Below are 16,059 nucleotides of genomic sequence, written 5' to 3'. Positions count from 1 at the left end.
ATCCAAATAGGCACACTAGGCATTGTGCCTCTTTTATGGTGTAGGAGGGACCAAATGCAGCAACTTATTCTTCACCTTGGAAGAATATCTCAACAAGTCCCACACCGCTGGACCCCTAGAAATTTTACTGAGGTAGAAGGTCCCTAAATTTTAGTTAAATTTATTTCCCATCCTCTGGCAAGCAAATGTCTCACCAATAGGTCCAGTGTTTGCTAATTCTTGCTTACAGGATCCAGTCAATACAATGTCATCAAGGTAATGGACCAGTGTGATATCTTGTGGTAGCGAAAAACAATCAAGTTCTTTTCCAATAATAAGATTATGACACAAAGCTGGACAGTTGATATACCCCTGAGGTAGGACAGTAAAGGTATATTGTTCATCTTTCCAGTTGAAGGCAAATGGCCTCTGGTGGGCCCTATGGACAGGAATGGAGAAAAAGGCATTTGTCAAGTCAATGGCTGCATATCGGGTACTAGGAGATGTGTTAATTTGCTCAAACAATGAAGCCACATCTGGTGCAATTGGAGTCACCACTTAGTTAAGCTTATGATAATCCACTGTCATTCTCCAAGGTCCATCTGTCTTCTGCACAGGCCAAATAGGAGAGTTGAACAGGAGGGATGCAATACTATTTTTGATGTACTATTTTTCTTGGTAGAGGCAGCTCTAACGCCTTTCATTTGGTATTTTCCAACATAATAGCTGTCACCCTACCAGTCACAGAGCCAACGTGAGGGTTATGCCAGTGGCTAAGTATGTCTATACCAATTATGCATTCTGGCACTGGGGAAATGACCACAGGATGAGTCTCTGGACCCACTGGACCCACTGTAAGTTGGACCTGAGCTAAAACTCCTATAATTACCTGACCTCCATAAGCCCCTACTTTAACTGGAGGACCACAATGACATTTTGGGTCCCTTGGAGTCAATGTCAGCTCAAGCTAGTCTTCAGTGGTCCCCAAAATGTCTAATCATTTCCCTTTCCCCATTGCACAGTTACTCTGGTAAAAGGCCAGAGTTCTCCTTGGGAGAGGATGGGAGAAAGATTAACAGCATAAATTGTCGGTAGTGTAGTGGGGTCCTTCCTCAAGGGGACATGGCCTCCCCTCCATTCAAGGGGTCCTTGGTCTGTAAACTGGCTCAAGTCTGGAAATTGATAGAGGGACCATGATTCTCTGTTTTTATAATTCAAATTAGTCTTTTGTCCATTCAACCTGGAAGTTTTCTGCTTGTATAAATTAAGTGGGAATGCAGTAGGCTTCCTATCAATTTCACTTCTAGAAACACCGTGATTAGTTAGCCAATGTCAGAGCCTTACACAAGTCAGACTCTTCTGATTGCTGCTTTGCCTCTGCTGTTCATTATGGTAGCCAGGCCCACCTTGCCTTTGATGGTTGAATGCTGCCACTTGGCCCCTCTTTAGGATCCAATTATTCCCACTGTATTTAAATTTTGTAGTTGAGTGACTGCAGTTCCCACTGTTAGATCTGACATACAGAGAAGAGCAATTACAGAGCTCTTCAAAGATGCAGATGCTGCCCTCACAAATCTATTTCGCAAAGCATTGGTCAAGGGTATATCTTCTGGACCTCCCAGCTGGGATGAGTAGGTCTAAAGTGACCAATCCACTCCACCATCCCAATCTCCCTAAGCCTTTGGATCCCTTCTTCTACATTAAACCTACGGAGATCAGGCATTTCCAGCTCACTCACAGTGGGCCATCTTTTAATCCATATTTCAGCTAACCAAGCAAATAAACTATTAGAACTTTTTTAACTCCCCAACTTGCAACAATAAATGCAGAGTTCCTACTTAGTGAGCCCAAATCAATAAACTCAGCCTGATCCAACTCTATGTTCCTTCTGCCATGATCCCAAACCCTTAATATCCATTCCCATGCCTGTTCTCCAGATTTCTGCTTACATAAATTAGAAAACTCAGGCAGTTCTTTTCTAGTGTAGCACACCTCCTTATGGGTCATGCTCTCAACCTCACCTCTAGGGGCCCCCTGGGGCTTTAGTCCAGTTATAGGTCTAGAAGCAAATGGGCGTTGGGGGTGGCTTCTGAGGAAAATCAACATTATCTTGCCTGGCAGCTGCCTCAGGGTAGGCCATCACTGTTGCCTCAGGCAGTGCAGCTTCCATCTCCTCAGACAAAGATGGAAAGGCTGACTGCATCATGGGTCAGGGAGTGGATGTTGCCACTACTGGGGATGGAGAAGCTGTTTTTCTGGCAAAAAAGATTCATCAGAGTTCACAAACTCAGTGTCCCCTGCTTTATCAGGGTCCCTCCAGAGATCCCCATTCCAAGTTGAGCGGTCCTATTCTTTTCCAGTCAATAACATCACTTTAACAGTAGACACCTGGCAAGACACCTGGCACCTTTACTTACAGGAAATCCTGTGTATATACGTATATATACATATATACACATCCTATTACTTCTGTCCCGCTAGAGAACCCTGATTAATACAGATTTTGGTACCAAGAGTGGTTTTAGAGGAACAAAATATTAAGAATGGAGTTATTTTATTGGTTTTGGAGCTTCTAGAGTTGGCTGCTTAATATGATTAGACCCCAAAATGCTAAGGACTCTACTTATAATAGTATGGAGAACACTGATAGTCTTGGTGTGAACATATATACATATATATACGTATATATACATATATACGTATATATATGTACATATACACATCCTATTACTTCTGTCCCACTAGAGACATACACACACACACACACATATATATATATACTTCTGTCCTGCTAGAGACATATATATATATATATATATATATATATATATATACACACACATATATATATATGAGTTTATTAAGTATTAATTCACATGATCACAAGGTCCCACAATAGACTGTCTGCACACTGAGGAGTAAGGTGAGCCAGTCCAAGAACTGAAGAATTTGGCGTCCAATGTTCGAGGGCAGGAAGCATCCAGTGCAAGAGAAAATGTAGGCTGGAAGGCTAGGCCAGTCTAGTCTTTTCACATTTTTCTGCCTGCTTTATATTCTAGCTACGCTATCAACTGATTAGGTGGTGCCTATCCAGATTAAGGGTGGGTCTTACTGTCCCAGCCCACTGACTTTAATGTTAATCTCCTTTGACTACACCCTCACAGACACACCCAGCATCAATACTTTGCATCCTTCAATCCAATCAAGTTGACCCTTAGTATTAACCATCACAGGAGTGTATAGACAAAAAAACTCATAATTAAAATAAAATGTTAAGAAGAAGCATTAGTACATGTGGCTACTATAATATTATATTCTGGTGTGGACTACTTTGATTGATATTAGGCACTAAGACTAATAATGGCTTTCACTACTTCTACTTAAATCTGGTTGACTATTCAGGAGACAAGCATATCTCATCTTAATAATTCATTGGGCATCAAAAACAGTAGAGTCAGATTTATATTAGTATGGGGGATGTTTTTTCTTTGAATAAAAAATATTTCCCTGTTCTTTTTTTTTTTTTTTTTTTTTGCTCTGTGCTTCTTTTGTTCCCAAATTTCTCCAGATGTATCTACACAGTGTTTCTCAGAGTGGGATCCCTGACCTAGCAATATTAGTACCACCTGGGAACTTAATAGGCACGTAATGAATCAGATGTAATGAATCAGAAACTCGAAGGATAGGGCCCAGCAATCTGTGTTGTAACAAGCCCTTCTGGAGTGTCTCTTGTATGCTAAATTTAAGGGCCTAAACTAGAGAAACTGGTGCAGGTGGTAACTCTTCTCATGTGAATCGGCTCACCTAATGCCTCATGCAAAATTGCTACTTTAAACAGTCTTTCTCAGTTTTAATATATTATTTACACTCTTTGCAGTGAAGTTAGCAGTGATAATGTCAAGTTTTTCAGCTGAAATTTACTATGAAGACTGTATCTTCTTAACAAAATATCCTTTAACTCGTGATATTTTTTTCTGCCTCCCATTATCAAAGTTTTTCTTTCTGCGATACCTACCATGGGTTAGCCTTTAACTATGCTGTGTCAACTGTATGTGGGGATTATACTTACAATTAAAACTTGTATTTGACATACGAATGGGACTCAAGGAAATCAAAACTCTTCTTGGAAACAGTAGGAACATCTGAGCCAGTAATTAACAAACGTTGATTGCCAAGGAAATTCAAACCAAGGTTTAATAAGGAAGGAATTCTTGTAAAAATAGACATAATAGCTATATGTAAAAATAAGAATATCTCTCATGTATAAGGAATTTTTATGTTTTGTGTAGAATTCTAGAGAGTGAAAGTTATGAGTACTGATATATGATTAGTATGTTGAAGCTATTACAATATGAAGTTTGTCTGAAAATAGACTAGGCTATCCTGTGAGGTGAAGAGTTTCCTGTAGTTAGGGGTATTTAAGCCACATCAAATTGTGGGTCGATTGGGTGGTCTAGACCCTTCCTCCTCAAGTGTAGTACCATCTGGGAGTCATTAGAAGGGTAGAATTTCAGGTTTCACCCCATTCCTGGTGAATCAGTATCTACAACTTAACAAGATCCATGGATGATCTGTATGCACATTATGTCTGAGAAATAGTGCTCCAGTTGACATCTAATGAATTTTCGTATTATTTTTATACTTCTTATAGGATTGTGTTGTGTTGTAAAATTTAAATAACAGTCTAGAATAGAAGTTGGGTAAATACATGAGCTTTACCCCACTTTCCATTGTAAAGTCGCTAACTGAATTAAATACTTCCCTCAGAAACAAAGATTGTTTCTTGGATATTGTAGTTAATTTTAAGTGAACAGTTATTTACATACTAGTTCTTTGTTAACTTTGGACTCTTGGCGTTACACAAAAGTAAAACACGTCTTTTGGCTTTCGTGTAGCACACTCAGAATATTTTCAGTAACCCCCAAAATATATTCAGTGTTTAATCCTCCAATTCCTTCATGCATGTCCTCTTCATTTTCACCAAACCCAGCAGGATTCGTGACTCTCCCTCACAGAAACGTTCCCTTTCTGCTCAGAGTAGGTACTGATTTTGTCTCCTGCTTCCTCAGTCTGTATGAATGGACAGCAGCAACGGAAAGAAAAGAGGGTAGGTAAAGGGAGGTGGAGATATAAGGGGGACTGGAGCGCGATGGAGAGACCAGACTCTGCTCAAAGCTAAAATTTACTCGGGCAGGGAATACTTAACATACAATTCCCATTACCAAAACAATATGAATGAAGAAGAACTGAAGAGGTAATGAGAAATGACAGATGCCGCCACACCCTAGATTGGCTCAGGTCCCTACAACCATGACTACCATGCCCTGGCCCAGTGGGAAGAAAGCTGCTTAAAGAAATGACAAGCACAGAAGACCGGGGAGCCAAAAGGTGCCCAAGTCCGTTCCCATCCCCACCAGCGCAGGCTGACACAAGCGAAGGCTGTAGAGCCCATTGTGTGAAAGAAGCCCAGGCGGGGAAGCGTGTGCCCCCTTCCCACTTTGCCCATCCCTGGCCCTCGCCTTCGCAGGGGGCACTGGGAGCAGAGCGAGCCTCGGCAGCCCGGGAGCGGCTCTGGGGGAGACGAGTGTATCCGCGGGCGCGTGTGCGTGAGGAGGAGAGCAAAGACGTGATTACTTCAGAATTTATTTAAGGGCCGGTGGAAACCACTGCAGCAGCTTCCAGGGGAAGCCCTTGTTCCAGAGGAAGAGGAGGTGGTGGCTGCCAAGGAGGAGGAGGGGAGGAGACGGAGGAGGAGGAGTAGCAGCCACCGCACGAGGCAAGTGAGGAGAGAAGATGCTGTAGCGTCCTCACCGGCTGCCAGCAGGTTGGTTCTTCCGGCCAATTGAAGCAAGCAAAGAGGCTTGCAGAAAGGCCGGGAGGAGAAAAATGGGTGTGTGTGCTGTGGCGGCGGGGGGGCGGCGGGGGGGAGGGAAGGGGGGCCGGGGGACGGCGTGGGGTGATGTTTGCCTTTCCAGAGAAAAAGCGCCTCCTTTAAGTGAAACGAGACACGGGAGCGCGCGGAAACAGGCTGGGGGCCAGGAGGAGACCTGTCCTGCTTTTTGCATCCCTAGGGACTCGTTTTCCTTTAGGTTTCTAACTCCCAGGGTTAGCCTTAAACTCCAGAGGGGCTCCAGGAGGGGAGACTGGGTGGAGAACTTCTCTCCCAGATACTTCTCACGCCTTTTCTCCAAGCTTTCTTTTGGAGGGACGCCCCACACACCCCGGGTGGCCCGGGCGCGGAGGGGGAGCGGCGCCGCGTGGTTAAGTTTCTGAAAGTCAAACCCAGTCCCCGGTCTCCGGTCTCCGCCCCGGGGCTCCAGCTGCACGCGGGGAGCTGCGGCTGTTCTGGCAAAGGGGCCGCGGCTGCTTTAAGAGCCGCCTCCCCCTCTCCTCCTTTGACAATGGTCTGAACCGAGCTTTGCTTCCCAAAGCAAAATTTGTAATATGCCATTTTTCCGATGGACGCTTCTCCTTTTGGCTGCTGACGGAGCCACGGGAAGATGCCGAGCTCCTGCCACGCCACCGGGCCGGGGCACGTTCCGGGAGGGCGCCGGGGCACGCGTGTGTCTGAGCTGCCTTTCTCCTCCCGTTGCTAGGGAAATGGTCCAGGAGTGCTGGGTGTGAGCCTCCCTTCTCCTCAAGCCGGAGACTGCGGTTGTCATTGATCAATTGAAGAAGCAAGGACCCGAAATCACAGACATTAGGTACAGAAGCTGTCTTTGAGTTTTACTGTCTCCTTTCGCTGTATTTTTTGACCACCTCCCCGGCCCCACCCCGCCCCCAGGGAAGATGAGATGCAAATTCCTCCTTGTTGATTACCGTTAGGTGCCTTTTGCTTTCACCTCATCCTCTCCATCTCCTATCTCTCTACCTCCTGCCTACTTGGCTGTGTCCTGTTGGGCAGGATGAACAATTTTAGTGTGGAAATGATGAAGTCAACTTCTTCAAGGTGGTGGGGGGTGTGGCTGAGAGATAACTGTCCAGTAGTGTGGGTTGAGCTGGCTCTGGCTGTCCGTAAATGCACTAGGGTAAAGAAAGTGTAAAATGTGTCCATTAAAGGTGATAATCATATTTCCCGAGGACAGAGGCTTTCAAAGAGTTAAATAGGAGGGAGAATATTCATGTAATGTAATCAGACAATGGCTAGGATTTCTCTCACTGAATTACTCCTTGTAGGTTAACTGAGGTGGAGCTGGGATGGTTCTTAAGACTAAATGTTTTCAGAAGAAACTCACTATGGATAATAATTACATTCTTACCTCTAGTAGGGCCGAATTCCTAGTGATATGATTAAATAAAGTCATTTGTTGACAGAAAAAAGAAAAAAAGCTTTTTGTAGCACTCTCATATCTGAAGAGGTACTGCTTGGATGGCATATATTGTTAAGGAACACATTGGATCTTGAAAGCCCTTGAGTGAGGACTCCAGTGGGCATTCAAACTTTTATTTTGAAATCTGAGAAATTTAAAAGACAGTCAAGGCTATGTGCTAAGAATAAAGGAGTTATTTTCCTGATATAAAATTCTTCCGGCTAAATTTAAGCACTGGGATAATTAAGCCAATCAGATTTATTATTACTTTTTTTCTTTCTCAACAAAATTAACAATGTCTCTGACTAGGTTTCAAAACCTTCAGTAATTTAATGAGGAAAGCATCAATATCTAGATGAAGATAACATAATTTATATATCAAATTGACTTTGAGGGGGGAATGATGAAAAAGCAAATATCAAGGCAAATTGTTAAAATGCCCTTTCTGGCTTTTCAGAAATTATGTGATGAATGCAGTTTTTAGTATTGATACTGATTATAAAAGTTAAAAGTGATGTATCTGGGTGAAACGCACTAGACATTGAATGACCATAGCCTTCCGGACTGTGCAAGCTGCTTCAGATGTCATCCATTTTTTAAAAGGGTGTTTAACTCTTATATTGAATATATATCTTTAATTGCTTTTAATACTTAAAATGTGCAAAATGTGCATTTAAGAAATGTTATACTGCATTTTAAGGATTAATCAAATATTTTGTAATTTATGTTAGAATCTGAATTCTAATGAAAGAAACTAAGCTAGTTCATGAAAGTGGCCTTATTTTTTTGTAGACTATTTTTTTCTAATTTTGATAAGAAGACTTTGGATTTACTCATTTGGGTTGACTGCAAGGTATAAGCAGCATATATTCATCTTATTTCCTAAGTAAATTTTGCATAATTTGATTTTTATAAATTGGATTTGAAGAGTTCAAAAGTATCTACTAGAATTAAACCTTTACAGCAGCAGAATGAGTCGTAAAGGTAAAATATTGTTTCTACAAAGATTAATGTTGATCACTTTATAATAGAAATTAATACTTACATTTGTAATTGCCCTTTATATGTTTTGCTGTGTGTTCTCAGTCAGGTAACCTATTATATATTTTCTTTTTTTTCCTCTAAGCATAGATTATTGGCCCTCTTTCATGAAAGAGAGAACTAAAGTTTTAACATGTAAAGTAACTTGTCCTGGTTCACCTGCCTTAGGAGTGGAATCAAATCAAGTTCTTTTGAGTGTAGATTTAATAGACTTTCTAAGTCCCTAAGCCACTTTTCATCATAGCATCTTTTGACTAAATCGAAGACTACCTTTAATGTTGATTTAAGACCCTAAAGTTTGTGAATGTTTATATCCCATGGTAACAATGAGGGATTGTTAGGATATTATTTTCAGGTGAAAATTATATTGGGGTATTCACTGCTGTTATGCTTTGCCTTGGAATTTAAAGTTGTTCTGAGTGATTCAGGGTGGAAAGGGATTAATAACTTTCATTCAAGAAGGACGTAATTTAAAATATAGATTTAAGAATTTAAATCTATAGGTAACCCTAACGTTGTGAGTGTTTGGGCACAAATTGTCATGATGCTATGATTTGCTCTCCCAGTACTTTGTTTTAACCTTAAATGTCAAAAGTAAACATATTGGCTCCTGGTAATCATTTCTCAGAATGACATAGCGGCTCAATGTGTAGGTTTCATGCATGGCCTGCTAACTAATCGTTTTAAATAATCAAATGTGTTGGAACACTTTTTGTTGTTTTCCAATTCCTTTTCAATTAATATAAAGAAAATTTGAAGCATCTAAAAAGAGTCTGTATTTTCCATCTTTGTGATAGTCTTTGAATGAAAATCAAATTGAGATAAATGCAAGAAACAGTTTTATCCATTAAGTGTGTAACAGTAGTATCAAGTGTGGGTATCAGGGTGTATGTGCTTATATTCATTTTATGTGTGTTCTCTGTTATATATTTTAGTGTGCATACAAAATTGAACAAATTAAATTCCTGCCTTCAGGTAGCTCAGTGTTATGAGCAATGAGCAAAACTTCAAAGCGTTTAAAACTTTCCTAATGTTCAATGACCCCCTTAATTTTTTAATATAGGTTATCAATCACAAAATACTTTACTTACATACTTTTTAAAAGTTTTTCTTAGTTTTCAGGAGTCCCTGACCAGATCATTCACAGATAATTGAATTTCGCTCCTCAATAACCCAATTTATATGAAGACTCACATAAAAAGTAATTAAATATTGAGCTGTTAAATCTTGACATTCTATTTGAAAATATCACCAGAAATATTTTCCCCAAGGACAGGAATGTATAGGCAGAAAAATTAATTAACCTTGCATTATAAAACCAAACAGTGCTTCAGGATCAACAGCCAAACCTGCCTTTCTTTACATCAGCCTTTTGCAAAACCAAGCCATCTAATTAATAGCTGCTGGCCATAGTACAACAACCAAAATTGAGATGAGTTTGACTTTTCTTTGAAACATTAGCTAGAGGATGAAAGAGAAAATGAGATAATTTCTGATTTTTAAGTTGCCACATAATTGTTCAATCATGCACCTAAGTGTGTTTTGTCTATTTTAAATCAAATTTAAAAATATTCTGAAAACAGTTCGTTTATTTCATGACTGAGAACTTGTGATTGGCGGTTGAGATGTGAAGTTACTACATTAGCTAATATAATTTATGACATCTGTTTTGCGGAATATTTGAAAGAGTGCTAGTTTGTATTGTTTGGATGAAAACCAGACCATGCAGTTAACAGGAAAAAGGGAATATTAAGTGTAATGATGAGTATAATGCTCTAAACAAATTTATATACCTCAGTTTATTTCATAAGGTTTTGGTCTAATTCAGTCAGTATCACTTATCTGCTCTGGGTAGACCACGTAGGAATTCAGGGAGAGAGCATATAAAAGTAATAAAATGGAAAATGTAATGTCAGAAAGCTTAAAACTAGTCAGTTTGAAAAAAATCGGTTGACTAAAAAACAAAGTAAAAGCTGATTATTATATAAAATAAATACTCAATGATTTGTATATTTTCTACAAGAAAGAGTAAACTTTAAATCATTGAATTACCTAAGTCATTCAAGTCATTTACTTCCTACCCGTTAAATGCCAGACACTGTGCTTGCCATTAATAATATACAGTAATAACAAATAAGGGTAACATAAAAGTATTCGCTGTAAGAGATTTGTAAACTTGCAGATAAGAAAGGTGATGAAATAATAATAGAAATCACATGTTTATGTAAATTGAATTAGGTGGGATAAATCATGAACAACAATTTTGAGAAACAGGTGAAACCAAGTTGCATATGGGAGGTGGGATAAATGTGATGTCATGGAAAGAGAAAGCACTTAGGCTGAAGGAAGTAAATGGATCATATTTCATTGAGGTCAAAACATTTTGCTTGGCTGGATTTGGGGCAACAGGTAGGGGAAATAGAGACAAATAGGCTAATAAGCTGAAAAATATTTAGTGAATTGCTCTCCAAATGAAATTATTGGAAATCATTTCTTTACTAAGACTCCTTCCCACTTACTTTCTTTAAGCAATGATGTGTGAAGTGATGCCCACGATTAATGAGGACACCCCAATGAGCCAAAGGGGGTCCCAAAGCAGTGGCTCGGACTCAGACTCCCATTTTGAGCAGCTGATGGTGAATATGCTAGATGAAAGGGATCGTCTTCTAGACACCCTTCGGGAGACCCAGGAAAGCCTCTCACTTGCCCAGCAAAGACTTCAGGATGTCATCTATGACCGAGACTCACTCCAGAGACAGCTCAATTCAGCCCTGCCACAGGTATGCTTCCTGGTAGCCTTTGTTTCTCCTATTGTAATTGAACATTTGTTAAGATTCACTTTACTCCCATTCTTAATGTTACTTTTCCACTTAACATATGTGATACACACGTTTTGGTGAGAACAACTTAGGAATAGATGATTAGTTCACTTGAAACCTTGCCTCAAACAAAATCATGGACTACTGATGGTGGTTGGGGGTTTGTGTGAGAAGCAAGAGTTCTTATCCAGTCTTTGTTAAAAATTGTATTTATGTGTTTTAGGGAGGTAGAAAACCACTTGTGGATCAGCTTTTAATGACCAGAATGTGGAGATAGTTTTATCTTTCTTACCTTTTAAACACAATATTGACATTTGGAAATATGTATTTTTCATTTTCAGTTGTGTGGTCTTTGAAAATGACCGTACTTTGGAAGTCTCGTGTCCAACTATTGTTTTTTTTTTTTTAAATGCCTAATATCTGCTTTAAAATTCTTGGAATTACTAATATATTATCCTCTCCCTTGGGAAAAAAAAACACTTTAACTGGTTTCTTTTTATTTTTAAAACATTTTGAAGATTGGTGAAAGGGAAAAAGTTAAGCCTCACTAACTTAACGTTGTTAGCTATATTTAAATATATTTCTGTCAATCTTTGTATTTTACAGAAAAAAAAAATCCTAAGATATTTTAAGAACTGCCAGCCTATTTATATACAAAGTTAATGATGAAAGTCAATTTACTTGTTTAAGAAACTCATAGGCTGGCCGCAGTGGCTCAGGCCTGTAATCCTAGCACTTTGGGAGGCCGAGGTGGGTGGATTGCCTGAGCTCAGGAGTTCGAGACCAGCCTGGGCAACATGGTGAAACCCCATCTCTACTAAAATACAAAAAATTAGCTGGGTGTGGTGCCATGCGCCTGTAGTCCCAGCTACTGGGGAGGCTGAGACAGGAGAATTGCTTGAACCCGGGAGGCAGAGGTTACAGTGAGCCAAGATCACGCCACTGCACTCCAGCCTGGGACAGAAAGAGACTCCACCTCCAAAAAAAAAAAAAATGAAAAGCATAATTGTGCCTCTTTTAGGTATGAGAAGAAACATAAAAATGAATGGGATTTTTGATACTCACCCCCATTAAACTAAAACTTTCTTTTAAATACAAGGTTGATTGGCCCGCTCCTTAAAAGACAGTATACTAAATGTTAAAGAGTTGAATTCTCTCCACAAAGTTATGGCTTGTAGCAAAGATATCTTTATAAATATTGAAAACTATATATTCAAAGTTGATAAAATTCTAAAGCTATCTGTACTATTAACTCATAGAGATATTTATGACTCTCAAAATGGAAAGGATCACTAAGAATCCCCTGTCACATCCTGATAGGTAAACCCATAACCCTGTGTGAATAACTGCCATTCTAGTCCTTTTCGTTTTCAGGCAGTTTATCTTGTATTGAGATGAAATAATGTTTTTAATAACTCTCACTTCTTGGTACCCTGGTTTGTGTCATCACACAAAATGTTTTGACTCATTTCAAAAGGCAGCTAGATAGCTACACCAAATATTATATTTTTTAAGGAAAATATTTTAGTCTTTGCAATTGCTCTTCATAAGGTGATTTCTAGAACTATCACCATCCTGCTTACTCTCTTGGAGGATTATTTGAGTTAGTTAATTCTCTTGTTAAAGTGGTCCCAGAACCAGTCACACTCTTCCTTATCTACTGTAACAAGTGGAAAATGGGGCAATCATTTCTTCTTCTGGATACAGTGTTTCATTAGTTTACACTAGGATTTTATTATATTTGGAGACAAGTTCAACATACCTTCAATGTGTACTGGGACAGCAGTCAACTGAAGTTTCTAATTGACTTGCATAGATGCTGCAGTGTGTTCCCATTTCCCTTCCACTCTTCTTGGAAGTTGATTCTGATCCTACATGTAAGACTGCATGAATCCCTCTTACATTTGTCTTTCTAGATTTTATTCAAGCTTGAAGTTTTCAGTTTAAATCCCAATCTTACCAAAATACATCTGAAAGTAATTTGGATTTTTAAATGTTTCCTCTTCTGTAAAAAAAAGGTGACTATTTTACTTAAAAATGTTGTAAAAATAAAGCACTAGAACAAGATACTTCAGGAAAAAAAGGAGAAAACTGAAAAATATTTTTATACGTAACTGATTGTGGAGGTAAATCTCTTTGTAAAGGTACAAGAATGAAAATGTTTTATTTCTAGCTATTCAATTGTATGGAGTATCTAAATTATGATTGCCTTTAAAATGTTAAGTTTTAATTTTTAAATATACTGCCCAGCCTTTTATCTAAATCCCTTGGGACCAGTTATGTTTTGGAGCTCAGAAGTTTTCTGGTTCTCTCTCTCTCTCTTTCTCTCTTACTCTCTGTTTCTTGTCTCTCTCTCTCTCTCTGTATATGTGTGTGTGTGTGTGTGTGTGTGTGTGTGTAGCATATTATAGAACAATCCTCCTGAAGGACTATGGGCAGCACCCATATTTCTGAATATTTCTGAAATTTTTCTGAAGATAATTCTATGAATATTCCTACTGCATGGTAAAAAAAAAAAAAGACTGTAAATAGTCTCATGATAAGTATAGGTCTGATTTTCCCACCCGTCAAATTCATTACATATTCACAAATCAAATATCAATTTCAGAGTGTATGGATTTTGGAATTGTAGATTAGGGATTATGAGCCTATACATTTAGATGGCTATAGTTCCATTCTAAATTAAAAATACTTTGAGGATATCTTTTTCAATATCAATTTGTATGTTGCTATTATAAATATCTGAGTACCCCTAGAAATCCACAGGTCCTTAGACAGTGATAATCATCTTTTTTTTTTAAAGAAAGTGTTTAATAACCTACTCTGTATCTTTAGGGCTATAAGTTTTCTATAAGTAATAGAGGAATATTCTTCATCAATTGCTATTGTTGAAACTTTATGAATATTTTGTAAATAATGTGCCACTGTTTGGTGGCATTGCACTTGACATTTAGCTGGAAGGTGAAAATAACTACCATAAATGTGACTTTTGGGGCAGAAATAAAGCATGTAAAATTGAAAACCACTAGGGTAACAGAAAAATGAAAATTATTTCAGCAAACACAGGGTAGAATTGAAAGCAGAGATAAACTTTATGACATAGATGTCTTAAATTGCCTATTCAGTGCTATTAGGTCTTGGTGATTGGAGCTTTACTTTAGTCACTTTCTCTCCTATTATTTCTTTATAAAAGTATGCAACAATAATTTTTAACAATTTTAACCATGTAAATTATTTTATAGCTGTATTGTTTAGTTTTTCATTATGTCTTTGGGTATATCTGCGTTTAAAAAGTGCTGATAATTTCACATCATTCCACACCTCCAGGCCTGAAGTTTCTTAGCTATGCCCTCAATTATCTAACTTATTAATGCACAGATCCATTTTTATGTTCCACAGAACCTCAGATTCAACATGCTCCAAACCCAGTCATCATCTACCTCCAATTCACAACCTAAGTGTGCTCTAACTCCTTACTTAGGCACCTTAAGGGTCCTTATAGTTGGTGCTTTCTTCCTTCTCTAAATTCAGTCCTCAGTGGGCCACACTTTTTGTACCTCTTAAATAATTCTCAAATCTCTCTACTCTTCTGTTTTTCTTGGCACCTGACCCTGAAATTCTTTGCTGCATCTCCTAACATTTCTGGTGTTGTAAATATGTCACATTATATGCTTGAATAATACGACACTGTTTGGTGTGTCCCAGCAAACTCCATTCTTTTTCCTTCATTAATGTTCATCTCTCTACCTATAATGTTTTTCCTCAATGTCTTTGTCTGGTTAATTTCCCATCCCAGCCAAAAGTTTATCTCTTTCAGGAACTCTTTTCTGAACCCTAAGTACATTTGTTCTGTGTGCCTTACTCTTATCATTTATCATATTGTAATTAAATTGTCTGTTTATGTGCCTGTTCCCCAACCTAATCTATAAGCTCCTTGAGAAAAGGAGCAGATCTCAATAATGCAAAACCCTCTGAACTGCCAAAGTACTAGGCCCATAAAAAAGGCTTTTAAAGTAAATGGAGAAGTAAATATATGTGCATTTTGATGTAGAAAGAACAATAAACTTGAAATAGGAAGATCAGATTTGTACTGTGACCCAACTACACATCACCAGTTTGAGTCAGAACTTCAGATTTCCATGCTACAAAAAGTGTTTAATACTAACACCTCATAGGGTAACTTGTGATGATTAAAGAATATGAGGCAAATAAAAACTAATTAATGTATAAAAAATTAAATATGGAATTACTTGCATTTGTTTTATCCAGAATGCTAAAAGATGATCATTTCTATACATATATGTGAATAATCATTAGGATAATTAGAGTAATTTACTAGGAATATTGACAAAATAATCCTACACATTTTTGAGAATGGGGGAATAATTGTCAGTTATTAATATATTTGTTAAGAATGTTTGGAGAAGAGGTAAAGGGAATGTGCTTCCTGTTGCAAAATGTCATATGTAGAAGTTTAAAATTTGTTTTCATCACCTTTTTTAGCATACACTGAGGGTCCACTGTGCATTATTAAATAGCTACATATGTTTGTAAAGGGGATGGGGAAAAAAGTTTGGCTCTCAGACAGTTTAGGGAATAGAGTTGCTTGGAAAAAATACATAAATGGGCCCAAATAAATATAGTACTGGAAGATTATAGAAGTACTGAAAGTATTTGAACTATGAAGTTGATATGTGATTCACTACAAAAAGTTTCATGTGGAAAGTGATATTAAAGAGGTATTTTTGAGAAACGATTGGTAAAGATTCTGAGATATTCCATGTGGGGCAGGAAAGTTGTGCAGATAGAACTTTGCTGAAGGACATATGGGAAACCAAAATTCAGCATATGCTGTGCTTCCCAGGCTAGGCTTAGGGTCCCTACTTTGTACAAAGAAGACTCTTTGGGGA

At 38.4% G+C, this 16,059-nt stretch overlaps 1 protein-coding gene across 41 annotated transcripts in view, besides 1 other annotated feature; it reads left to right on the top strand.

Moving 5' to 3' along the window:
- The first annotated feature begins 5,732 nt into the window (after nt 1–5,732).
- Nucleotides 5,733–16,059, top strand: part of PPFIA2 (PPFI scaffold protein A2) — a 501,376-nt gene continuing 491,049 nt past the window's right edge. For 28 of the 41 annotated variants that reach the window (XM_024449242.2, XM_017020107.3, XM_024449240.2 and 25 more), the window contains exons 1-3: nt 5,733–5,803; nt 6,576–6,683; nt 10,860–11,110. In XM_024449242.2, the coding sequence (XP_024305010.1) occupies nt 10,862–11,110 (249 nt within the window). In that variant the 5' untranslated portion in view covers nt 5,733–5,803; nt 6,576–6,683; nt 10,860–10,861. Of the gene's footprint in view, nt 5,804–6,427; nt 6,684–10,859; nt 11,111–16,059 lie in introns of those variants that run through there. The other 13 variants (XM_017020099.2, NM_001220474.3, XM_017020105.2 and 10 more) reach the window with 2 other exon arrangements.
- Nucleotides 5,935–6,873: an enhancer, noted in NCBI's record as "H3K4me1 hESC enhancer chr12:82151989-82152927 (GRCh37/hg19 assembly coordinates)". NCBI's record gives its function as "activates a minimal SCP1, AML or CMV promoter by ChIP-STARR-seq in naive H9 embryonic stem cells {active_cell/tissue: H9 hESC(naive)}" and the evidence as "EXISTENCE:reporter gene assay evidence [ECO:0000049][PMID:30033119]".

This window comes from Homo sapiens, chromosome 12 (genome assembly GCF_000001405.40).
Source record: "Homo sapiens chromosome 12, GRCh38.p14 Primary Assembly".
Lineage (NCBI taxonomy): Eukaryota > Metazoa > Chordata > Mammalia > Primates > Hominidae > Homo > Homo sapiens.
Note: the sequence above shows the minus strand (reverse complement) of the source record. Positions and strands in the feature narration are given on the sequence as shown.